General features: G+C 42.8%; 1 protein-coding gene across 18 annotated transcripts in view, besides 1 other annotated feature; it reads right to left on the bottom strand.

The window, feature by feature from the left end:
- The window catches only part of RYR2 (ryanodine receptor 2), a 791,805-nt gene that overhangs the window by 734,119 nt on the left and 30,527 nt on the right, over positions 1-27,159 (bottom strand). The gene's annotated exons all lie outside the window — the stretch shown is intronic.
- Positions 23,758-24,423: an enhancer, noted in NCBI's record as "OCT4-NANOG-H3K27ac-H3K4me1 hESC enhancer chr1:237238747-237239412 (GRCh37/hg19 assembly coordinates)". NCBI's record gives its function as "activates a minimal SCP1, AML or CMV promoter by ChIP-STARR-seq in primed H9 embryonic stem cells {active_cell/tissue: H9 hESC(primed)}" and the evidence as "EXISTENCE:reporter gene assay evidence [ECO:0000049][PMID:30033119]".

Genomic DNA, 27,159 nt, shown 5'->3' with positions numbered 1-27,159 from the left:
CACATTTGTAAATTGGTGAAAAAAAATAGTGCCTACCTCATAATATTTGGGGAAAGATTAAATGAGTAAGTACTTGATTAGTGCCTAGCACTCAATACTCACCTCTTCCTTCTTTTTCCACTGCCCCAAATAAACACTAAAACTTTTGTTTCAAAATGTAGTTTTTCATAGCAAAAGAAGGTTCTATTGATCTGCCATGCGGCATGTGGTATGGAACAATCTCCTAGTACAGTGTAGGATTTTTAATTTATCATTTTTCCTTGTACATTATGCCCTCCCCTTGGATTCATCTTGCAACCAATGGCAAAGAGCTGTCAAAGAGGCTATTGAGAGGCTGGGTACAGTGGCTCACATCTGTAAACCCAGCACTTCGGGAGGCCAAGGTGGGAGGATCGCTTGGGCCCAGGAGTTCAGGACCAACCTAGACAACATAGCAAGACCTCATCTCTACGAAAAATTTAAAAATTAGCCAGGCATGGTGGTGTGCACTTATGGTCCCAGCTACTTGGGAGGCTGAGGTAAGAGGATTGCTTGAGCCCGGGAGGTTGAGACTGCAGTGAGCCATGATCACGCCACCACACTCCAGCCTGAGTCACAGAACAAGACCCTGTCTCAAATATTTTTTTTAAAAAGCCATCAAGACTGGCTTGCCATCTGTGGTCTTGGAACACACCGAGAACAGCAACCTCTGCTGACCAGCTGGGCTGAATTAACTTAAATGTTATATGTATGCTGATATTGAATTTCCTGGGTTTTTTTTTTTCCGTTCACACTACCTTCTCACTGCTGAAAGATGATCTTTAAAAGCCCATTCATTTATCGGGAGAAGGTGGCTTGTTGTCCCCGCAGGTGAGAAGCGCAGTGGTTGTCTGAGCCCTCCTCATTGTACTTGTGCACATCATATGCGATTCAGAGGCAAGGATAGCTGAGACATGCCAGGGGAAGAGACCGTCTCAGCTCCTCGCTGAATATTTTGCACAGTCTGCTCTAAATCACATGGACTTCTCTTTCAGTCAGGATTGAATCATCTCCAGAATTTATTCATCCTGCACAACTGAAACTTTGTATCCTTGTGACCACACCTCTTCATTTCCCTTTCCACCACGTTCCTGGAAAACACCATTCTCTGCTTCTATGAGTTTGACTTTTTTAGATTCCACATGTAAGTGAGATCATGCAGTATTTGTCTTTCTGTGTGTGACTCATTCCACTTAGCATCATGTCCACCATGTTTACCCACATTGTCACAAATGACAGATTTCCTTCTTTTTAAGGCTGAATATTATTCCACTGTGTATATATACCACATTTTCTTTATCCATTCATCCAGCCTTAGGCACTTAGATTGTTTCTTCATCTTGCCTTTTGTGAATAATGGACAGCATGTTAATAATACTGGATTGTACCCCTGAAATTTGCTAAGACAGTACATCTTGAGTGTCTCACCACACACACACACACACACACACACACACACACACATACACACAATGGCAACTATGTGAGGTGATGGATATATTAGCTGGCTTGATTATAGTAAAGATTTCACAATGAAATCAAAACATCATATGTACATTTTGAGTATATGCAATTTTTAATTGTCAATTATACCTCAATAAAGCTGGAGAAGAAATTAAAATCAATCAACCAATCAATCAATATCGACTGAATCACTGGCCCGTTTCTGTGTTCAGAAATTTTATGGCACAAGTGGCTTTCCAAATTCTCTTCATTTTCAAGGTCTTAAACACCATTTTCATAGATGAATAATTGCATTTTTACCATTCCTACGGGAAATTAATAGGGAGGAAAACATCAGTCAATCTTGATATTTGTCTTCATGCATAACAATTTTAATGCATACATTTTAATAAAGAAAAATGGCAAAGGACATGCAATTTGAAATTCAAACTGTGACCTAATATATTTATCTAAAATACAAATCTGATCAACCAAACTCCTGCAGCACAAATGCCAACAGGATTGGGGGCACTCACTTGTCAAGACATCACAGCATATGAGGCTTGATTTCTCCCTCCCCAGGTCTCCAGCCCACTCCATCCCTGGGGGTGACACGGACTGGGAATAGCTAATATCACTGGTAGTGGATGTACATGGAATATTATTATACTTGGTTTAAAAACATAAATCCCCAGAAACGGTGCAATGGAGTATTTTACTTAAGCCCATATCCTCCTTGCCAGAAACCAAAAAATTAAAGTTGCTTTGATTGCATTACACAAGATGTTTTGCTTTCATCTTATCCATTTTGGTCTCCTATACTGGAAGATGGTGTCATGAGGATGCCTGAGAAACAGGAATAGGTATTACGTTTAAATCTTTGTAAATATACCAGAGACCCAGAGGCCAGACTTACAGAGCAGCATTCTCTCTTATTTAACCTGATTTAAGCAATAGGAGATCTCAACCGTCACCCAATAAAAGAAAATCAGTTCTGTCATCTGGGGTTCACTTCCTTATTAAAAATTAATACACAAGAATGAGCAACCAAACAGGAGAGAGTCTCCTGGATCTTTTAACTCATATAGCTCAGTTTCTTCCCCCTTTTAACTCAAGGTCTTAAATCTTTGTACCATTTGTACCATTTTTCAGACAGTTTAGTGGTTGATGGAAAAGGTCAATCTGGCAGCTCTAAAGAATTCCACTCTCTATTTATTTCTCTACCAAAGGGACATAGTTTGGATCCTGTACTGCATTGGAATATTTGAATCATATTCATTGGAATATATGCCATCTAGAAGTTGAAAAAGAAGAGAAAATACATATTCAAGCTAAAATAAATCCAATTTTAAGGAGGCCATTAGTCAACCCCAATTTCAGTAAGGTTTTGAAAAAACAGGCAAGACTAAAATAGACTAAAATCACATGGGCGACTGCACAGCTTTCTCTTGGGACTCTACTCCAACAGAAGACCTGCAGGACAGACCAATTCCAATTGCTTCAAGGTGCAGGATTTCTAATTCAATACAATTTAGGAGGCAAGCTCTCCTGGACACACCCACACAGATTTATAGGGGGCATGAGATGTTGCTCTCTACCAACTATGTCATAGAAAACAGGTTCCGAACATGCCAGAGCAGCTCAGTTTGTACTCTTCTGGAACTTTCATCTCTTGTCCAAGTGGTAAAATCTGAGCAGCCTTTATTTTATAATTAAGTATCTTCAAATTTTTTTCTGAAGGTTAAAAATAATGAATGGCTTAGCCTAAAAGCCAACAACAATTCCAGATACCATTACTATGGTTAGAAAAATAAGATACCAACGTATATTCCCTTGCCAAATATATACCAATATATACCAATGTATATTGCCTCCCTCAGCAAAGCCACTTAGGAAAATTAGAACTGAAACCAGTGTGGTCCTGTGTACTCAAAGTTTCCAGTCTTGTTATCCGCCACCTATTGCTGTAAAGAAACCATTCTCATAAGAACAATTAACGAGAAGTGTACATTTCTAGGTTGAAACAAAAGGAGAAGGTTCACAATTTAGAAATAAAAGGGAAGAAATAGCAGTGTCTCAAGTATGACAACATGAGCTGAAGAAAAGAGTTCCATGTGATTTAATCCCAAAACAAAACAAGCCCAGGAAGAGATTTCCCAGACTGGCAATTGGACAGCACTCTTTCTGCAGTGGAAAGTATTTGAAATAGGGCATTGCTTAACGTCAGGCCTCTTCTGTTGAAGGACGACACTGTCCAATCCGGTTTTTATTCCTCCCACCCAGAAATCCAGGACTGTGAAAGTCTATAAAAGTCCCAAACAATTTTCAGGATCCCAGAGGCTATGACCTTCATCATTTTCCCGTGATAGTCTCTAAGTCCAATTTTTCAGAATCATTTATTTGAAGACCAGACCTCTGCATGAGAAATGAAAACTATTCTAGTAGAATGGCTCCAGTGGAAGGTGGTTTTCTCAGGGCCCAGGCTGTCCCTCCAGCCTGGAATGCCCAGACTTCAAGGTCAACCACAAGTCCACTTCCCCGCCTATTCTGATGACATCCATCTCTCTTTCTGCAGAATCCTCTTGCCTGAGTTGTTGCCTGAGCCATGTTGAGCCATGCAGTGAGTAGCTTATCACATGCCCACTACATGCCACCTTGCTTTCTGAGAGGTCTCCTTTGCATATAATCTCCCCAGCTGGGACCACTCTGTGGAAATGGATGGTTGTCAGCATCTCCCAAAACCTCACAGATGGCAAGTGTTCCTCACAGACGGAACACTGAAGGTTAGCTCCTTGATCTCCAGTCACCAGGCTAGGGGGATGCTCTGTAGCTTGCCTTGTGGGTACTTCCCTTGAGTGAGAAAGAGATGTCGGCAGTGCTGCTGTCAGCTAAAATTATGATAAATAACCCTTTGGCTTTGTATAGCACTTTTCAGCTACAGAGTGCTTTCAGACACGATCCCAGTGAAATGTTACACTTTTTGTAAATACGTGGGAGGGTGGTTGTTCTGTAACTTCCAGATTGTCTATGTCACAACAGTGCTGCACGGCCCTGCCATGAAACCCTCTACCATTGAAGCGTGTGGTACAGCAGTGTTCAGTGGAAGACCCAGAGACTAGAAATGTACGGTACCCAACCCTAGATTACATCATCCAAGTTTCACAGTTGAAGCCAAGACAAAGTTGATTCAATAAAGAAAGTTTGTCTTAGATACCTTTGACATGCCCTCTGCCCTTTGTTGTCTCTAACACTTTTAGGAAAAAATACTGAAGGGAGAAAAGGCTCACCATATGTATGGTCTTATTTTCAACATTTTAATTTGCAACGATAACCTGAAGACATTACTTAACCTCTCTGAGCCTCAGAAGTCACATCTATAAAGTTCAGTCCCATCTATAAAGTTGCTGGAGGTTTACATGACATAAATCACACACTATGTTTAGCACAGGGCAAGGCATCCAGGAAGCAATTGATATATGAAGGCTTGGGTTGTTTGTTAATAATATTTAGGAAGACAAGGCCGGGTGCGGTGGCTCACACCTGTAATCCCAGCACTTTGGGAGGCCAAGGCAGGAGGATCACGAGGTCAGGAGATTGAGACCATCCTGTCTAACACGGTGAAACCCCGTCTCTACCGAAAATACAAAAAATTGGCTGGGCATGGTGGTGGGCGCCTGTAGTCCCAGCTACTCGGAAGGCTAAGGCAGGAGAATGGCGTGAACCCAGGAGGTGGAGCTTGCAGTGAGGCGGAGTTTGCAGTGGGCCGAGATCGCACCACTGTACTCCAGCCTGGGCGACAGAGCGAGACTCCGTCTCAAAAAATAATAATAATAATATTTATAAAGACAAAACAAATGATGCATTCATAAAACTGTGAAGAGTTTGATAAAAATTAAGTCACTTCTGTCCATCAATATTTATTAAGCATGTTCGCATTCAAAGATTGCATGGAGAAACAGTATCCTCCCTGCCCGTCCCAAAAAAACAGAAACGATACTATGGTTTTTGCTTATAAGGATTTCATTACCTAGTGGGTGAGTGATACACACTTTTAAAAACGCCTAAGAGCATTTACAGATCCTACAGAAAGAGGAAGTTAAAGTGTAACTACGGTACAACTGAGCCCCCATAGAACCAATAAATTGGTGGCAATTATTAGCAATAACCACAGGCTTCCTACATATAGCGAGCTTCCCCTTAAGTGCATGTAAGCTGAACATAGATTTTCCTGTTTCATTTGACTTCCTTTTCCAGGAACACCTCTATCTGTAAAGCCAGATGTATCTGTGCAAAGGCACAGAGGTCGAAATGGAGGACTCGAAGAAGGGAGTCAGGCCAGCTCGCCTGCCCCACTGGCCCTTCCAAACAGAGGCTCCGGGCCTGCTCTCCCAGCTGCCTGCCTTCTCTCTTCCTGTCGCCACTGCCTAGGGTTCAGGCATCCATCGTCCAAATACCCAGGACTCCTGCTTCCCCTCGACTCTCTGCCCACAGCCTGCGCTGCACCACTCTGGTTTGCCACGTTCAGTCAGCTGTTCAAGGTGGCCTAATTCACAGCAGCGTGAGAAGAACCCCAGGAAACACAGGCCGCACACAGATTATCTCAATTACAGGAAAAGCATCACTGTTAACTTCACTAAGCAAAAGAATCGATTAATCTCTCTGGCCTCTGGGATCCCACGCCTGCCAATACTCTAGCTGCTCATTAAGATCCAATTTCTAAGGGTCCTTGAGATTTTCCTAACTCCCTCCGCTCAATGCTTATTTCTCCTTCCACCTCCATCCAGGGCTGATCACTTCATCCAGAGCCTGTGGTCCTAGAGAAACAAAGGTCTAAGTCCTCAGGGATGAAACTGCTCTCTTCCAGTCACCTGAGCCCAGGCCAGGGTCAGCCTGGACTCTCTTGCAGAAGCCCCCTGGGGCTCCTGCTCCTGTCACTGTTCCTCTGTGCTGTCCTTGATCTCCCATATTTGACATCTCTTTCCCAGGTGACTGCCCGGGCAGCTCCATGTCATGAATAAATCATCTGCCCTCTATTTCTATTCTCAAGTTTTCCTGAAAGTCTCAGTTTCTTCTCAGCTCCTCCCCTAGCCCACCATCACTATGGGCTTCTGAGGTCGTGTCCCAGCCAATGTCACTACAACATGTCCTTCAGGGAGCCTCCCATCAGGTTCTCGGCTTGTTATTCCCTCTACTTGGATGATCTTATGGAATCACTGCTGTCCAATAAGGTGGCTGCAAGCCTCCTGTGGGTATTTAAATTTGGGTTAATTAAAATTAGATAAAATGTAAAATCCAGTTCCTTGGTGAAACGCGTCACACTTTAAGAATTTAATAACCACATGTGGCTAGTGGTACTGGATGGCACAGACATAAGGCATGCCCATCTTCACCGGGAGTTCTACGGGACAGCACTGTCACAGAGCACCCATATACGCCCACACACTGCTGCTCCGGCCTCAGCAAAGTGAGGTTCTGCATGTGGAGGGAGAAGGCAATTCTGCTATGTGGGATTTATCCAAGAAATGCTGTGAAGGAAGCAAGTTGAATTAGATTTTGAAATAATAATAAGACTATCTTTGGCCAGACACGGTGGCTCACGCCTATAACCCCAGCGCTTTGGGAGGATGAGGCAGGTGGATCACTAGAGGTCAAGAGTTCAAGACCAGCCTGGCCAACATAGTGAAACTCCCATCTCAACTAAAAATACAAAAAATAGCTGGGCATGGTGGCACATGCCTGTAATCCCAGTTACTCGGGAGGCTGAGGCAGGAGAATCACTTGAACCCAGGAGGCGGAGGTTGCAGTGAGCCGAAATCACACCACGGCACTCCAGCCTGGGCAACAGAGAGACAGTGAGACTCTGTCTCAAAAAAAAAGGAAAAAAAAAAAAAAAAGACTATCTGTGATCTGTATAGTATACCACATATATAAACAATGTTTACATATATTTTAAAATAACATGGTTTCAAATGGGACATTTCACATGGCAGAATAGCACAGACAGTCACATAAGAGCAAACACCAAGCCTGAGAAGATAGCAGAGGGTCTCCTTCAAGGAAACAAACACTCTTTAATTTGAGGGACTCATAAGGCATCAAAATGGCCATCTGGAGCGTACCTAAGGATATTTCAGCCTGCTTTTACATTCCTTTATTTGACCTTAACACCACTCTACACGGCACACCAGGTAACATCAACCCATTGTTAACCCAAGGGTGGGCAGACTACAGCCCATTATACAACGCATCCTTATGGTAGATCTTTTCTCTCAACATGCTTTCCCTCTGAAATCAGTATTATAAAGGTGCTCTAGTATATTTAGGTAATTGTCATTCCAGCTGTATCCGTATGTCAAATCAAGACCAGAGAGAGCTAGGAAGAAACAGGACAAAATAAAAGAAATAATGAACATATGGCTATCAAAACATCTCTCCATTTTTAACCCATCCCCTGTTGACTCTCTGCTCTTCTCTGCATATTCCCATCTTCTCAGCCAAGAACCCTGGTATCAAAAGCTGTGCTTTCTGCTTCCAGGGCACCTTCAGTCTAGGAATGCTCTGGCTGGTGGCTGCCACATTAGGCAGCACAGGCCTGGAATTTAAAGGGCAAGGATAGGACTCAGAGGAAGGAGAAATCAGAGTTCAGGTTTAGGATTTAAAGAACAGGTCTTAGAACCGTCCCTGGGTCAGGTGCAGTGGCTCACGCCTGTAATCCCAGCACTTAGGGAGGCCAAGGCGGGGGGATCACTTGAGCCCAGAAGTTCGAGACCAGCCTGGGCAACATGGCGAAACCCCGTCTCTACTAAAAATACAAAAATTAGCCAGGTGTGGCACCGCACACCTGTAATCCCAGCTACTCGGGAGGCTGAGGCAGGAGAATTGCTTGAACCCAGGAGGCGGAGGTTGCAGTGAGCCAAGATCGTGCCACTGCACTCCAGCCTGGGCAATGGGGCAAGACCCTATCCCCCCCCGCCCCCCCCAAAAAAAAGAAAGAAAAGTCCCTGGTGTTTCTACAGTTTGAATTCCAGACCAACAGAGATTTGGGAATGGCACCCTCCTTAGGGTAAGTCATTTCCTAAGGGATGCTAAGCTCACTGGACAGGTTACAAGAGAAAGTTTCCATCCCTCAGTCAGAATCCTGAAACAACCTGCTTGATGGTGAAGTTCACGCTGTAAGAGCTGCCAATTGTGTTTCTGGGTGTTCACAGAACCCCCCAGTAGTTAGCAGGGGTGTTTGATCCCAGGCTTTTTTCTATTCAGTCCATGTCCCAAGCCACATTTTCAAAGTTAACCATCTAATTCAACCTATATTGTTATCTTCCTCCAGAATAGTAACACTCCTTCACCAAACCAAGCTCTTACTCTACACAAATGTCATGTGAAAGTCGTTCCAAAAATAAATGTATGACATTAAACACAAGTACATAATTTTCATTTAACTGGTTTAACTTATTACAAAATTACTATATTTTGTAATGCACATGGGATAATATTCTCAAGTCAACTGTACATGTGACATAGTAGCTACTGAACCTTTAACTTTCATGCCAACCTTCTTCTCAAAACAGAGCCTTCCTCTTGAAACCCTTGGCCCAGTAAAAGAGTCTCGTGAATTTTCTGCAACTGAAGTTGTTTTGCATTCAAAAATCAAATGCCAGACTACACTTCACCTGAAGGTCAGGGAGGACAGTCAGTCATTCAGTCATTTATAACCAAGGACACCCAAAGTATATGCCAGTTTCCTATATTCCTATATTAGTTTCCTTTATTAGTTTCCTGTTGCTGCTGTAACAAATTACTGCAAACATAATGTCTTAAAACAATGCAAATTTATTTTATAGTTCTGGAGGTCAGACATCTAAAGTAAAATGGTTCTGCAGGGCTGCACTCCTTCTAGTGACTCTAGGGGAAAATCTGTTGGTTCCTGGCCTTCCAGCAATGTGGCACCTTCAACTGTCTCTGATCTCTGCTTCCATCATCACATCTCCTCTGACTCTGATCCCCCTGCCTCCCTCATGTAATCCTCTCATGATTACACTGCCCCCGCACGAGATAATCTCAAGATCCTTAACTTAATGACATCTGCAAAGTCCCTTTTGCCATGTAAAGTAACATATTTACAGGTTCTGGGGATTAGAATATGGACATCCATGGAGGGCCCTGATATGGTTTGGCTGTGTCCCCACCCAAATCTCACCTTGAATTGTAGTTCCCATAATCCCCACATAGCATGGGAGGGATCCAGTGGGAGGTAATTGAATCATGGGGGCGGTTTCCCCCATGCTGTTCTGGTGACAGTAAGTGAATTCTCAAGAGATCTGATAGTTTTGAAAGAGACTCTTCCTGCCTTCACTCAGCACTCATTCTCTCTCCTGCCGCCCTGTGAAGAGGTGCCTTCTGCCATGATTGTAAGTTTCCTGAGGCTTCCCCAGCCATGTGGAACTGTGAGTCAATTAAATCTCTTTTCTTATAAATTATTCAGTCTCGGGTATTTCTTCATAGCAGCATGAGAACGGACTAATACAGGCCCTTATTCAGCCGACCACACCAGCCTTATAAACTCATCTCTGCAGACTATCTAAGAATAATCTTCTGAAATACCAGAGATTACTTAAAAATTCACTATATACTCCCACCAACTGAAGTTTTCCACTTGCATTTTGCATTTCAGCATCACGTGGGATACACTGGGATTAGCTAAAAGGAACATGACTTATTTTTCTAAACCAGTTTAGACTATTTACCTTTTCATATTTCTTAACAAGATAACATACAATTCTATTGGCTAAAAGTAGTGTGGATTTCACTGTATCCCTCAAGGGAGGCTGGCAATAAATGTGAGGTCACATATAAACTTGACAAGATACATTTTAGTTTAATTTCACTCTCAGTGTCTGATTTCTTTAAAATCATGTGGCTAGATGGTTACCTCTTACTGACTCACTATTTCTTAGGGACATATCTGAACTAGTACTAGACTGAACAAAAAATAATTTCCTATAATAAATGTAGTCAAAAGGAATAAAACAGTATATGGAAAGAAATGGTTATTCTTTTCTACACTACTATCTTAGTTGGAAATGCATTTTAAAATCTAACAATTAAAGGAATGGGAAGAAAAGGCTCTGCTTATTCTCAAACAGGCCTACCTAGATATTAGCTTTCTTCATTTATGTGTAAGAAAAATTAATCTGAACTCCGTTATGTAATACAGTTACCCCCACACTGAGAATGGGTTAAGTTGGAGGCAGATGAAATGGATGTAATTGGCAGGGAATTTCCTGAGAGGTCTGAGGTTTTTAAAAGGTGAGACTCAGCAGGTGCAAAGGGCAAAAAACCAGAGGGTGCCTTTCCATGAATTTGGAGCTATTTTTAATCTAAGAATGAGAGGTCCAGATCTATGGGACCCATGTGGGTTTGGTTTGTTATTCGGGAATAGAAAAGGCTTCTCCTGTTACAGTGGAAACTCAGGCAAGAAAGGGTTATTTTGGCTTTGTAAGTACTGGAAACAACTGAAATTAAATAAAATGTTGTCTCTGAATACTGTCCTTGCCTCTTTTGAAGGTAAGATATTATGAGCCATATCTTGTATCCTTCACATGACAACTTAACCTAAACTGTCTAAGTACTATGAGAAAGGATTACCTACCACAAAAACAAGGCTGGAAAGAATGTATTTTGTAGGTAGAAAACTTAACATTACCCCTCGAATATTTTCTACAACATAAAACCAATGCAGGACAATTTCTGAATCCCTGGTTTAATCCTAAGCCAAGTAATGAACTCAAAAACATGGAAGAATGATAAATCATAGATTAGCAAACTTAGAAAAAGAAACGTACAACACCAATGCCCCTGGCTTTTGTTTTTTATTTTGTTTTGTCTCATAGGGCACAGGAGTTTGAGATAATAAATTGCGAAAAGCATTGATTCCAGTACACAACTTCCAGGAGGCATCCAATACACATTTACACATTTGTTGAAGGAACTTGTAAATATGGTTTAGTCTTGCAAGGAAAGTAGAAAAAGGAAAGAAAAGCACAGGTAGCCAAGCCCTTGCATCCTATCTCTCTTTATCTCTCCTGAGATTCATGAGTGGTGGTCACAGGAGCGTGGAGATGGCCAGGACCTCACTAACCATCTGCGTTTGGCACACGTACCAAGGGTTGCCAATCCACAAATGCAAACATGCCAGACATGCATGCTTTACACGCCTTTACAGCTGGCTAGCCCCAAGCCACTTGGGATTGGAAAAAAAAAAGTACAGTCAAGGAGTATCATGTCTTCCATGTACATTAATTTCCAATAGTATCCAATATTACATATATCCAATATTACATTAATTTCCAAAGGCAGAAATGGCAAGTGCAGTCAGCATTTCATTTCTAAATTCAAAGGTACAGGACATAGTTCTCAGCTGGTGCCAGCAAATGCCAAATGGGTGGCACAAATACCAATGACTTAACCCAGCATGCACAGAGAACTAATTGTGTTGAATACCATCTATCTAAAGTGATCTAAGATGTTTTCTCTATTCCAAATAATGCGAGAACTTCTGAGATGAAAATCACACAAAATTAAATGGAGACTTTCTCACATTTTTATTAAGGCTCATTTTACAAACACATCCAAGCCCCACTGTGGAGGGGGGAATGTAGGAGGAGAAACCCAGGCTGGCCACCCAGACACCAAGAGGGGCACCAATTCTGCCAACATCTCAAATTCGAGAATGTGGTGAGATCCACTGATAAATTCAACTTCCATGCACTTGGTTTCTAACAAGATATACGAATGCCATTTTCTGCTTATTGACATCTCTGTGGGCTGCAAAGAAAAGAAACATGTCTTGGTGCATCTGGCATTAGAAATAAATCTACCTCCTCAAATAGTACTTGAAGAGTGAATCATTACTCATTATACTTCTCACATTTTGCATCTCCCTTTAAACAAAAACATTTACATTTTTTATCCTGATTTTGGTAGGCTATAAAATCAGATGATTCATCATGGTAGGTAACCAGGTGAGCAACAAAGAAGGAGGAGGAGGAGGAGAGGAAAGTGAAATGAGCAGTATGTCCTAAACCTGGAATTGAACCTGGAAACAGAAAAAAATGTAACAGAGTTGCTACAAACACACACGAAAACCAAGCCCAGTGAGTGAAGACTGGCTAGGATGCTATTCTCCTGGCCCAGATGCTGGTTCAGGTGCCATCTGGAAGCACCAGCAACTAATGAGGGAAGAAAAGAAATTCAGCAATTTGGAAGTTTTCCCGAATGCAGTCCCTCCTTCAGGGAATCCCAGCTTTACTGTGAAAGGGGTCCTCCTGCCTTTCACTTGCGCGTGCTGAGAATTGCTTTCTCAAGGTCAGTGGCCATGAAAATATTCTATGCAGCCTGAAAAGAGAAGAACTCTCTGGCACAACAAGCCATAACACTATAATCCGAGAGCTGCAGACATATACATACTCAAATACAGGCAGTTCATGTTCCTCCGGGGATAGCACCAACTTGTCCATTAGTATCAGCTCTATCTCATTTAAAAGCATAAGTTTGACTGCTGTTTGCCAACCTCGTTCTACTGCAGCTGGAGAGTGAAGGCCCAATATCTCTACATACTCAAACCATAACGCTGCCTGTGACCTTTCCTCCCAAAGCCCAAACACTTCCAGCATCGCGAAGTAAAGTGATATGGTCCCACCCAGCACCCCTCACCACCCTGCACAGGGTACCCATGATATTGTGGGAAATAAAAATCCTCCATGCAAGCCCTGGCTTGGATTAGTTAAGCAATATGCTGGCTCCCTGTTGAGGTCAGCACCCTTCCTTTCCTCCCCATCATAACACCATAGTAAGATAAAGGTAACAGACTGGGAAGAAGGGAAGGATGAACCCGAAACACAGAAAAGTTCAAAAATCTTGTCCACTGAGACAAGAAGGGTTAAGGACTGAATTGTGTCCCTCCTCCTACAAAATTCGTATGTTAAAGCTCTAATGTGACTGTATTTGGAGATAGGTCCTTTAAAGAGGTGACTGAGTTAAAATGAGGAAATGAGGGTGAGCCCTCATCCAATATGACTAGTGAGCTTAGAAGAAGAAGAGATTAGGACACAGATACATGGAGGAAAGACCACGTGAGGACACAGGGAAAAGACAGCCATCTAAGAGTCAAGGGGAGAGGCTTTAGAAGAAACCAGCCCTGCCAACACCTTGATCTTGAATTTCCAGCTTCCAGAATTATGAGGAAATAAATGTCTGTTGTTTAAGCCAATGAGTCTGTGGTACTTTGTTATGACAGCTCAGGCAAACTAATGCAGGCATTAACAGAGCATGCCTTAGGCTAAAATGTCAGAAGCAGGCTGGGTGCAGTGGCTCACGCCTATAATCCCAGCACTTTGAGAGGCCAAGGCAGTCAGGTCGCTTGAGCTCAGGAGTTCAAGATCAGCCTGGGCAACATGGTGAAACCCCATCTCCACCAAAAATACAAAAAATTAGCCAGGCGTAGCGGCACACGCCTGTGGTCCCAGCTTCTTGGGAGGCTGAAGTGGGAGGATCACTTGAGCCTGGGAGGCGGAGGTTGCAGTGAGCTGTGATCATAACACTGTACTCCATCCAGCCTGGGTGACAGAGGGACACCTCCTCTCAAAAAAAAAGTCAGAAGCAGGTGCCTCACTGATCTTCCTATCCCTGTCTGAATAGCTCTCTTCTCCCCCTCAAGTTCCCAGGATTCCAGGCCCCTCCAACTGAGATCAAGTAATGGGGCAGTTCACCTCAAATGCTCTTGGTTCTTGATATTAGGAAAGCAATCTAATCAAATAGATTAAACACACACGTGCACCCAATTACACTCTTCTAAAATCACAGCTGTTGTATACCCTTGTGGCTTCAGCCTCCTGATCTTTCTCATTGCTTCCCTTCTCCTCCTCCAGCTTCCAGGAACAGTAGAGAGGAAATTAACACATGCGGAGCAAGTTAAGAATTTTATCTGATGGGGTAGATTTTATTTTATGCAACAGGGAAGGGACTCCAAAAGACAAGAGTAACTTTTCCAATAGTAGAACCAATAACTGAAACTCAGATATTTTTGACTCCAAAGACTTGACTCCTTTTGATAAGTCACGGTTCCATCCCAGTAGCTGAAATGACTAAAGTTTTATAAAATAGTTCTATTAGGAAAAGAAATAAGTCACTGTAAACACTACCCTAATATCCCTGGAGATCAATTTTAAATTGATATTAATTGGATGCACTCTACTACGTAAGCCTATAGAGAAACTAAAATATCTGTTGCACTTCAAATTTCACGACTCATGCTACAAAATGAACATAAACGGCAATCACACCCTTGAGTAGTTTTTGTGGAAAGATAACTCAATGAAATAACCTACTTTTAAAATAAGAAATAATGAAAATAAAAAGCCGATGTGAATTTGGTGCTTTCCTATCATTATTCAGCATTTGGGGGAATACAGCTCTGTCGGCAAGGTTATTCCAGGCTCTCTGAGACCAGGGTATGTATACAAGAGGGCCGGCCCCGGCCCTTCAATCAGGCACTTTCATGCTTCCTGCATGGGCACAGAGGGTGAAATTAGCAGTTAACTCCACATTAGGTCGGGACCCAAGTCAGCTTTTAATTTAATTCTCCTTTTAGAGAATTAAAAAGGGACTAGCACATTCAAGAAATGCCTGGCCAAAAGCAAAGGACTATTCCCTAACCAGTGACACTGGGAACAGTGAAGGCACCAAGGAAATGCAGCTGGGAGGAGGGATGATGAAAGCAAAGCTTCAATTCCTCCTGGCATCAGGGAGGGGACTGAGGGCCACAAACTACCCCTCCCCCGCCTTTCCATCTGTTACCCAAAACGCTTGCTCTGCTTGTGAATTAAAGCAATAACAACCTTAATGTTCATGAATAACTAGACATGCCTAGTCACCTTGCTGCCTATAAGAATTATGTACGTCATTATACATGTTCGGCTTTCTTACAAGTGCCATTCAATTTCCATAATACCCTCAGCTCGCGGGTCTTAGTATTCACAGATTTCTGCTTATGTAGCCTGATTGCCTTGTTAACTGCTTTATAACATTAGCGGGAGCATTAGAAGTCAGGAAAATGAAAGATGCATGGATGAAAGTGGAGAAGCCAGCTTGACACAGATGGATTTGCTTTGGGATAAGCCGAATTTGAAATACCATGAGCATCCAGGTGAAAATGGGTATGAGGCACTGGGGTAATGTCCTTTCCACGGTGAGCTCCTGTTGTGGTTGTGAATTAGATCTTCAAAGAGGAGAATGGAATGTGGGGGCAGATGATGGAGGACCGAGGACCAAACTCTGGAGGCATTCACACTTGGACAGTGAGAGAACCAAGAGAGGCCCAGGGAGAACAGAGGTGGGTCATAAAATAATCACTCTTCAGAGCCACACTGTCCAATATGGTAGCCATATGCCACGTGTGTCCACAGAACACCTGAAATGTGGCTGATCTGCACTGAGGTGTGCCGTGGGCATAACATACACACTGGATTTTCATGCCTAAGTGGACAAAAGTCCCACATCCTCCAGGGAAGTTTAAGGGGATGAATACTGAGGGAAAGCATTTGAGAGCTCCCTGGTCATCTTTCAGCGCCATTTCAGTGAGTGGTAAGGCCAGTAATATAAGAAGCAGTGGGTAAATAAACCACTGCTGTGTCTAGCATTTTGGGGCAGAGAAATAGAGGAGCACAGTTAAAGGGCACTTTGCTTTGTTGTCTCTGAAAGGAAGACCTGCAGATGTTTGTAAATAGCCCACTATCTCCTTCTCTCCCCAGAAAGACACAGACATACTTGCCTCATCAGTTCACATTCTCAGTCCCACTGAACCATCTGGAAACAAGCTCATACACCAACACAAGCAGAGAGGAGAGATGACTGTGGAATAAAGAGGCATTCTGCAATTTATCAAAAAAGGAGCTTAGCCCTCCCATGTTTTTTGTTTTAAATTCTGCATGAGATCCCCGAGTGAAAGGCTAGAAGTGCTGAGGGAGGGTTACCTGGCTTGCCTGAGAGTGGCATGGCATGAGAACCACTAAGCACATACCAGATCCTGGGATTCCACGGGCTTTTCATCTGGCTGTTGGCTGCCCAAATGCCACCACTTGAACATAAATTTATCGGGAAACTTCTACATGGTCGTGAGGAATTTTCTCTCTCACTTCAAAGCATGCACCAAACTGCCAGAGAACACTTAGAGGGTTTTCTCCTCCTACTCCCTAGTCTTCAAATAAATGAATGTTGAAAAGGGTAACTGCTGATGGCTCTCTGTAACTTCTGAAAGGGGACTTGTGGCAACAGTGGGCCCATACTGCATCCCAGAAGCAGGGCCAGGCTATAATTCTGAACGGGCAACAAGTCACTATAAACATTTATAAAGAAGAAAGTGTGCAAGGGCTTACAGAAAGTAAATCGTCGGGGAAATTGTTAAAAATTTCCAAGTCTTTGCTCCACAAAAACTAAACATTAATCAGGCTTTAGTGATTTCTCTAGTATTTTATAAGAATAGCAAGGCGATATAATAGCAAGGAGATCAAAGAATTAACATCACCTGACACTGCAGGTGAGACTGAAAACGTGTATTCACACCTAACTTTCCCTATTAAATTGCTCAAATAAAGAATCTTAACACTAGCAGGGTCCAATTTAACACTTGTTACATATAGAAGAAACTCACAGAAACTAACAAGCACTCAGCCCACACACATCTGCTTAGCCAAGGCTTCGTGGGTTAACCTTATGGTACTGAGAACTTGGAAACAGAAGACTGCAGGAGGGGCGGCTATAAGAGGCAGTTTACTCTCTGATTTTATATCCGATTTTATATATATATATATATATATATATATATATATGTTTTCCTATTTGAAAGAATATAACACAGGGGTTTTAATTCCATCAAGATAACAGGCAGTTATCAGGTGCATGAAAGCAGCACCAACAAATTAATACAAAGGTGCATCGACAATAGCAATTTTAATACTTCATTTCCAGACCATTAAAAATGTCCGCCATCTTTGCTCATCATCATTGGCTTCCTACAAAAGGACTTTGTCTTAATAGCAGAATAGAGTCATGCTTAGTGCTTAGTGCTTAGGCTCTGACACAGGTTTTAAGTTCTGGCACAAAACGATGAGCTGTGTGGCTTAACCTCCCATACCTCACATGATCCTGTGAAGAGTCAATAAGTTAATATAACATGAACGCTGCTTACAATAGGACCTGTCCCACAGTACATGATCAATAATGTCAGCCACTAGTTTAATCAGTTAATGTTTATCAGCACCAGATCATAGCAAACTGAGATTCTCCCTGGGGACCTCGCTGACACAGGGTGTCACTAGGACAGAAACCTTCATCTCTAAAGAGGTCTTTGCCCACCAAGTTCTTCTCCCCATTAAGAAATCACAGTTATCTTGGAGTAATTAGCCTTTCCCTTTGCACAGGTGCTGATGTCTCCTGCCTCCCAGGGATCATCGCCAAGTAGTGCCTGGTGGAGCTCACCCTTAAAAGAAAGAAGAGTTTGAGGATGCAGCTAGGACAGGAAGGCCATGCCGCAGGAGAAACTGAAGACTTTTCATGAGTAAAGGTTTTGTTTCTTTAGGCTGGAATGGCTGCCTCCTATCCATATAAATGAGGTAAGTCTCCTGGGAAGGGCGAGGTTCCTGATAAAAGCCAATAAAACCATCTTTCCAGCTGGATGGGTCATTGGGATGGAATATTGAGAGAGACAGAGAGAGGGAGAGAGAGAGTGTGTGCGTATGTGTGTGTGTGCCATATATGTAACACATATCTGGAACATAAATGCATGAGAAATGTCTAAATTATGATATATATGTATACATGCATGTATATATATATATATATGTGGGGGGTGTATTTATATATGTATATACATATATAAAGAAAGACAGGGTCCTCCTGTGGATCTTGGTTGTCCCTTTAGAACCTGGCCCTCCCTGAAGTGTGGGCCATGGGTACCCATACAAGGGGACTGAGGGGCACAAACCTGTGGATCCTGAACCAAAGCAAATGTAGGTACATCGAGTCCGTAGCTCAGACCTTTGTTGACTTTCTTTTTTTTTTTTTTTTTTTTTTTATTATACTCTAAGTTTTAGGGTACATGTGCACATTGTGCAGGTTAGTTACATATGTATACATGTGCCATGCTGGTGCGCTGCACCCACTAATGTGTCATCTAGCATTAGGTATATCTTCCAATGCTATCCCTCCCCCCTCCCCCGACCCCACCACAGTCCCCAGAGTGTGATATTCCCCTTCCTGTGTCCATGTGATCTCATTGTTCAATTCCCACCTATGAGTGAGAATATGCGGTGTTTGGTTTTTTGTTCTTGCGATAGTTTACTGAGAATGATGGTTTCCAATTTCATCCATGTCCCTACAAAGGATATGAACTCATCATTTTTTATGGCTGCATAGTATTCCATGGTGTATATGTGCCACATTTTCTTAATCCAGTCTATCATTGTTGGACATTTGGGTTGGTTCCAAGTCTTTGCTATTGTGAATAGTGCCGCAATAAACATACGTGTGCATGTGTCTTTATAGCAGCATGACTTATACTCATTTGGGTATATACCCAGTAATGGGATGGCTGGGTCAAATGGTATTTCTAGTTCTAGATCCCTGAGGAATCGCCACACTGACTTCCACAATGGTTGAACTAGTTTACAGTCCCACCAACAGTGTAAAAGTGTTCCTATTTCTCCACATCCTCTCCAGCACCTGTTGTTTCCTGACTTTTTAATGACTGCCGTTCTAACTGGTGTGAGATGATATCTCATAGTGGTTTTGATTTGCATTTCTCTGATGGCCAGTGATGATGAGCATTTCTTCACGTGTTTTTTGGCTGCATAAATGTCTTCTTTTGAGAAGTGTCTGTTCATGTCCTTCGCCCACTTTTTGATGGGGTTGTTTGTTTTTTTCTTGTAAATTTGTTTGAGTTCATTGTAGATTCTGGATATTAGCCCTTTGTCAGATGAGTAGGTTGCGAAAATTTTCTCCCATGTTGTAGGTTGCCTGTTCACTCTGATGGTAGTTTCTTTTGCTGTGCAGAAGCTCTTTAGTTTAATTAGATCCCATTTGTCAATTTTGTCTTTTGTTGCCATTGCTTTTGGTGTTTTGGACATGAAGTCCTTGCCCACGCCTATGTCCTGAATGGTAATGCCTAGGTTTTCTTCTAGGGTTTTTATGGTTTTAGGTTTAACGTTTAAATCTTTAATCCATCTTGAATTGATTTTTGTATAAGGTGTAAGGAAGGGATCCAGTTTCAGCTTTCTACATATGACTAGCCAGTTTTCCCAGCACCATTTATTAAATAGGGAATCCTTTCCCCATTGCTTGTTTTTCTCAGGTTTGTCAAAGATCAGATAGTTGTAGATATGCGGCATTATTTCTGAGGGCTCTGTTCTGTTCCATTGATCTATATCTCTGTTTTGGTACCAGTACCATGCTGTTTTGGTTACTGTAGCCTTGTAGTATAGTTTGAAGTCAGGTAGTGTGATGCCTCCAGCTTTGTTCTTTTGGCTTAGGATTGACTTGGCAATGCGGGCTCTTTTTTGGTTCCATGTGAACTTTAAAGTAGTTTTTTCCAATTCTGTGAAGAAAGGCATTGCTAGCTTGATGGGGATGGCATTGAATCTGTAAATTACCTTGGGCAGTATGGCCATTTTCACGATATTGATTCTTCCTACCCATGAGCATGGAATGTTCTTCCATTTGTTTGTGTCCTCTTTTATTTCCTTGAGCAGTGGTTTGTAGTTCTCCTTGAAGAGGTCCTTCACATCCCTTGTAAGTTGGATTCCTAGGTATTTTATTCTCTTTGAAGCAATTGTGAATGGGAGTTCACCCATGATTTGGCTCTCTGTTTGTCTGTTGTTGGTGTATAAGAATGCTTGTGATTTTTGTACATTGATTTTGTATCCTGAGACTTTGCTGAAGCTGCTTATCAGCTTAAGGAGATTTTGGGCTGAGACGATGGGGTTTTCTAGATAAACAATCATGTCGTCTGCAAACAGGGACAATTTGACTTCCTCTTTTCCTAATTGAATACCCTTTATTTCCTTCTCCTGCCTGATTGCCCTGGCCAGAACTTCCAACACTATGTTGAATAGGAGCGGTGAGAGAGGGCATCCCTGTCTTGTGCCAGTTTTCAAAGGGAATGCTTCCAGTTTTTGCCCATTCAGTATGATATTGGCTGTGGGTTTGTCATAGATAGCTCTTATTATTTTGAAATACGTCCCATCAATACCTAATTTATTGAGAGTTTTTAGCATGAAGGGTTGTTGAATTTTGTCAAAGGCTTTTTCTGCATCTATTGAGATAATCATGTGGTTTTTGTCTTTGGCTCTGTTTATATGCTGGATTACATTTATTGATTTGCGTATATTGAACCAGCCTTGCATCCCAGGGATGAAGCCCACTTGATCATGGTGGATAAGCTTTTTGATGTGCTGCTGGATTCGGTTTGCCAGTATTTTATTGAGGATTTTTGCATCAATGTTCATCAAGGATATTGGTCTAAAATTCTCTTTTTGGGTTGTGTCTCTGCCCAGCTTTGGTATCAGAATGATGCTGGCCTCATAAAATGACTTAGGGAGGATTCCCTCTTTTTCTATTGATTGGAATAGTTTCAGAAGGAATGGTGCCAGTTCCTCCTTGTACCTCTGGTAGAATTCGGCTGTGAATCCATCTGGTCCTGGACTCTTTTTGGTTGGTAAACTATTGATTATTGCCACAATTTCAGAGCCTGTTATTGGTCTATTCAGAGATTCAACTTCTTCCTGGTTTAGTCTTGGGAGAGTGTATGTGTCGAGGAATGTATCCATTTCTTCTAGATTTTCTAGTTTATTTGCGTAGAGGTGTTTGTAGTATTCTCTGATGGTAGTTTGTATTTCTGTGGGATCGGTGGTGATATCCCCTTTATCATTTTTTATTGTGTCTATTTGATTCTTCTCTCTTTTTTTCTTTATTAGTCTTGCTAGCGGTCTATCAATTTTGTTGATCCTTTCAAAAAACCAGCTCCTGGATTCATTGATTTTTTGAAGGGTTTTTTGTGTCTCTATTTCCTTCAGTTCTGCTCTGATTTTAGTTATTTCTTGCCTTCTGCTAGCTTTTGAATGTGTTTGCTCTTGCTTTTCTAGTTCTTTTAATTGTGATGTTAGGGTGTCAATTTTGGATCTTTCCTGCTTTCTCTTGTAGGCATTTAGTGCTATAAATTTCCCTCTACACACTGCTTTGAATGCGTCCCAGAGATTCTGGTATGTGGTGTCTTTGTTCTCGTTGGTTTCAAAGAACATCTTTATTTCTGCCTTCATTTCGTTATGTACCCAGTAGTCATTCAGGAGCAGGTTGTTCAGTTTCCATGTAGTTGAGCGGCTTTGAGTGAGATTCTTAATCCTGAGTTCTAGTTTGATTGCACTGTGGTCTGAGAGATAGTTTGTTATAATTTCTGTTCTTTTACATTTGCTGAGGAGAGCTTTACTTCCAACTATGTGGCCAATTTTGGAATAGGTGTGGTGTGGTGCTGAAAAAAATGTATATTCTGTTGATTTGGGGTGGATGGTTCTGTAGATGTCTATTAGGTCCGCTTGGTGCAGAGCTGAGTTCAATTTCTGGGTATCCTTGTTGACTTTCTGTCTCGTTGATCTGTCTAATGTTGACAGTGGGGTGTTAAAGTCTCCCATTATTAATGTGTGGGAGTCTAAGTCTCTTTGTAGGTCACTCAGGACTTGCTTTATGAATCTGGGTGCTCCTGTATTGGGTGCATAAATATTTAGGATAGTTAGCTCCTCTTGTTGAATTGATCCCTTTACCATTATGTAATGGCCTTCTTTGTCTCTTTTGATCTTTGTTGGTTTAAAGTCTGTTTTATCAGAGACTAGGATTGCAACCCCTGCCTTTTTTTGTTTTCCATTGGCTTAGTAGATCTTCCTCCATCCTTTTATTTTGAGCCTATGTGTGTCTCTGCATGTGAGATGGGTTTCCTGAATACAGCACACTGATGGGTCTTGACTCTTTATCCAACTTGCCAGTCTGTGTCTTTTAATTGCAGAATTTAGTCCATTTATATTTAAAGTTAATATTGTTATGTGTGAATTTGATCCTGTCATTATGATGTTAGCTGGTGATTTTGCTCATTAGTTGATGCAGTTTCTTCCTAGTCTCGATGGTCTTTACATTTTGGCATGATTTTGCAGAGGCTGGTACCGGTTGTTCCTTTCCATGTTTAGCGCTTCCTTCAGGAGCTCTTTTAGGACAGGCCTGGTGGTGACAAAATCTCTCAACATTTGCTTGTCTATAAAGTATTTTATTTCTCCTTCACTTATGAAGCTTAGTTTGGCTGGATATGAAATTCTGGGTTGAAAATTCTTTTCTTTAAGAATGTTGAATATTGGCCCCCACTCTCTTCTGGCTTGTAGGGTTTCTGCCGAGAGATCCGCTGTTAGTCTGATGGGCTTTCCTTTGAGGGTAACCCGACCTTTCTCTCTGGCTGCCCTTAACATTTTTTCCTTCATTTCAACCTTGGTGAATCTGACAATTATGTGTCTTGGAGTTGCTCTTCTCGAGGAGTATCTTTGTGGCGTTCTCTGTATTTCCTGAATCTGAACGTTGGCCTGCCTTGCTAGATTGGGGAAGTTCTCCTGGATAATATCCTGCAGAGTGTTTTCCAACTTGGTTCCATTCTCCACATCACTTTCAGGTACACCAATCAGACGTAGATTTGGTCTTTTCACATAGTCCCATATTTCTTGGAGGCTTTGCTCATTTCTTTTTATTCTTTTTTCTCTAAACTTCCCTTCTCGCTTCATTTCATTCATTTCATCTTCCATTGCTGATACCCTTTCTTCCAGTTGATCGCATCGGCTCCTGAGGCTTCTGCATTCTTCACGTAGTTCTCGAGCCTTGGTTTTCAGCTCCATCAGCTCCTTTAAGCACTTCTCTGTATTGGTTATTCTAGTTATACATTCTTCTAAATTTTTTCAAAGTTTTCAACTTCTTTGCCTTTGGTTTGAATGTCCTCCCGTAGCTCAGAGTAATTTGATCGTCTGAAGCCTTCTTCTCTCAGCTCGTCAAAATCATTCTCCATCCAGCTTTGTTCTGTTGCTGGTGAGGAACTGCGTTCCTTTGGAGGAGGAGAGGCGCTCTGCGTTTTAGAGTTTCCAGTTTTTCTGTTCTGTTTTTTCCCCATCTTTGTGGTTTTATCTACTTTTGGTCTTTGATGATGGTGATGTACAGATGGGTTTTCGGTGTAGATGTCCTTTCTGGTTGTTAGTTTTCCTTCTAACAGACAGGACCCTCAGCTGCAGGTCTGTTGGAATACCCTGCCGTGTGAGGTGTCAGTGTGCCCCTGCTGGGGGGTGCCTCCCAGTTAGGCTGCTCGGGGGTCAGGGGTCAGGGACCCACTTGAGGAGGCAGTCTGCCCGTTCTCAGATCTCCAGCTGCGTGCTGGGAGAACCACTGCTCTCTTCAAAGCTGTCAGACAGGGACACTTAAGTCTGCAGAGGTAACTGCTGTCTTTTTGTTTGTCTGTGCCCTGCCCCCAGAGGTGGAGCCTACAGAGGCAGGCAGGCCTCCTTGAGCTGTGGTGGGCTCCACCCAGTTCGAGCTTCCCGGCTGCTTTGTTTACCTAAGCAAGCCTGGGCAATGGCGGGCGCCCCTCCCCCAGCCTCGTTGCCGCCTTGCAGTTTGATCTCAGACTGCTGTGCTAGCAATCAGCGCGATTCCGTGGGCGTAGGACCCTCTGAGCCAGGTGTGGGATATAGTCTCGTGGTGCGCCGTTTCTTAAGCCGGTCTGAAAAGCGCAATATTCGGGTGGGAGTGACCCGATTTTCCAGGTGCGTCCGTCACCCCTTTCTTTGACTCGGAAAGGGAACTCCCTGACCCCTTGCACTTCCCAGGTGAGGCAATGCCTCGCCCTGCTTCGGCTCGCGCACGGTGCGCACACACACTGGCCTGCGCCCACTGTCTGGCACTCCCTAGTGAGATGAACCGGGTACCTCAGATGGAAATGCAGAAATCACCCGTCTTCTGCGTCGCTCACGCTGGGAGCTGTAGACCGGAGCTGTTCCTATTCGGCCATCTTGGCTCCTCCCGCAGACTTTCTTTCCAACACACTTTCTTCTCATATTTTTCCCCCTCTAAGCATAGAGAAAAATGCATGGGCCAAAAAAAAAGGCAGAAAATCCTGCATAAGCAGAACTATGAAACAGGCTTTCCAAAATGTTGCTTAGAGGCTCAGATTTTAAATTCACGCAGTGATATCCAAGCATAAAACCTACATGAGAATGAGAGTGGGTTCAGCGCTTGGGTCTCTGCCCTCCTAAACATGGGGTGACTCCCACAGCCTTTTCTCTATCAATATAGCTCCCAAACATGTGGAATCAGCCCAGATCCCTCTCCGAGACCTGGCTGCACAATCCAGCTGCATGTTCAGTATTTCTACCTAGACATACACCAGCTTCAAAATCGGTGACTCATCAACCTAACCTGCAAATCAACTCTTGCCCAGGATGGCCCCTCTACCGTTTAATAATATAACAATAGTTCCAGTCACACCAACGTAACATCGCCTGAATCATCTCTGATGGACTGCCCTCCCCCAGTCTTCAGTGTCCAGGCACAAGACAGACTCTTACACTGGGCGAAGAAGGACTAAGCCAAAGGGCCATCTTGGGTTTGCATAAGTCATCCCTGATGTGGCACTGGAACACACATTCTACCCGTGGTGACTGACTAATCATAAAAGAACATCATGAATATGTCTGGGCTGGGGGAGGTTGTGGCAGAACATTTGAAACAAGTTATGCAATAAGACAAAAGCAGGTGACTTTGGAGGGATGCAGATGACATCATGGTGAATCCTGCTTGAGGCCTCAGAGGTGTAAAGCAGCCTCTATCCATCAGTGTCCTCCCATTGCCGCATCTTCCTCCCAAGGAGTCATCCTTTTCTTCCCCATCTCACAGTTAGTACGTAGGTTATGGCAGTGCTGCCCAATAGCCTATCCACATATACAATTTTATTTAATCTATTTTTTGAAACCTAGCCTTGATCTTGCTCTGTCACCCAGGCTAGAGTGCAGTGGCATAATCGTAGCTCACTGCAGCCTTGAACTCCTGGGCTCAAATGGTCCTCCTGCCTCAGCCTCCCAAGTAGCTGGGATACAGGCACGTTCCACCACACCCAGCTAATTTATTTTCATTTTTTTAGAGATGGGGTCTCACTATGTTGCTCAGGCTGGTTTCAAACTCCTAGGCTCAAGCAATACTTCTGCCTCTGCCCCCTGAGTAGCTGGGATTACAGACATGAGCCATCATTTAGGGCTCCCACACAAAAAAATTTTAAATCTTCTCATAGCCATGGTTAAAAAAAATACGACGAAAAGGAAAAGGTGAAATTAATTTTAACCATATATTTTGTATAATCTAATATGTCCAAAATATTATCTCAACATGTAATCAATCACTACTGAAGCTTTTTTTTTTTTTTTTTTAAGATGGAGTCTCTGTCGCCCAGGCTGGAGTACAGTGGTATGAGCTTGGCTCACTGCAGCCTCTGCCTCCCAAGTTTAAGCGATTCTCATGCCTCAGCCTCCTGAGTAGCTGGGACTACAGGTGCATGCCACAACACCCAGCTAATTTTTTTTATTTTTAGTGAAGACGGGGTTTTGCCATGTTGGCCAAGCTGGTCTCGAACTCCTGACCTCAGGTGTCCGCCCACTTCAGCCTCCCAAAGTGTGGGATTACAGGCATAAGCCACAGTGCCCACCCTGAAGCATTATTAATGAGATATTTTATATTCTTTTTGCCATGATAGGTCTTTGAAATCTGGTATGCATCTTACCCCTGCAGCACATCTCAACTCAGAGGGGCCAAATTTCAAGTATTCAACAGCCACACATGGCCAGTGGCTGCCATACTGGACAGCGGGGCTCTGAACAGTGCTTATTTCAAATGCAGAGCAGGACAGTGACTTCCTACGTGGTCCCCTTTGTCTTATGAGGTTCGCCTCTGGCCTTGCTGACTCTCACTACCTGTGTGGTCCACGTTGTATATGGATTCAACTACCTGGCACGATCTTCCTTGTCTGCTCGAGAGAGAGGCCCATCCAAAGCAGGGCCCCTATCTGTATTCTCAACACCCACCACAAACCAGGCATTCCGTAGATGTTTGTCAAATAGTCAATCAACTAAAGACTCCAGGATAAAATCCAAATTCCTTAAAATGACAATCAGGTTTAGCCTTTAACTCCTTATAACAATCCTCTTCATAGTCCTCTACACTAGGTCCTTAAGTGTCTAGTTCAGCGTGCGGTGGGGCGAAGATAGAAATAGGTCCTGAGGTAAATATGTGGCAGCTTCCTGGAGCATTAGTTATACTAACAGATGAGTTTTTGTTTTTTTTTTTTTTTTTGAGATGGAGTCTCGCTCTGTCGCCCGTGCTGGAGTGTAGTGGCATGATCTCTGCTCGCTGCAACTTTTGCCTCCCAGGTTCAAGCGATTCTCCTGCCTCAGCCTCCCAAGTAGCTGGGATTACAGGTGACTGCCACCACGCCTGGGTAATTTTTTGTACTTTTAGTAGAGTCGGGGTTTCGCAATATTGCCCAAGCTGGTCTCGAACTCCTGACTTCATGTAATCCACCTGCCTCGG

The sequence above is a fragment of the Homo sapiens genome, chromosome 1 (assembly GCF_000001405.40).
Source record: "Homo sapiens chromosome 1, GRCh38.p14 Primary Assembly".
In the NCBI taxonomy this organism is placed as follows: domain Eukaryota; kingdom Metazoa; phylum Chordata; class Mammalia; order Primates; family Hominidae; genus Homo; species Homo sapiens.
The sequence above is the reverse complement of the archived record's forward strand: the minus strand, read 5'-3'. Positions and strand labels throughout refer to the sequence as shown.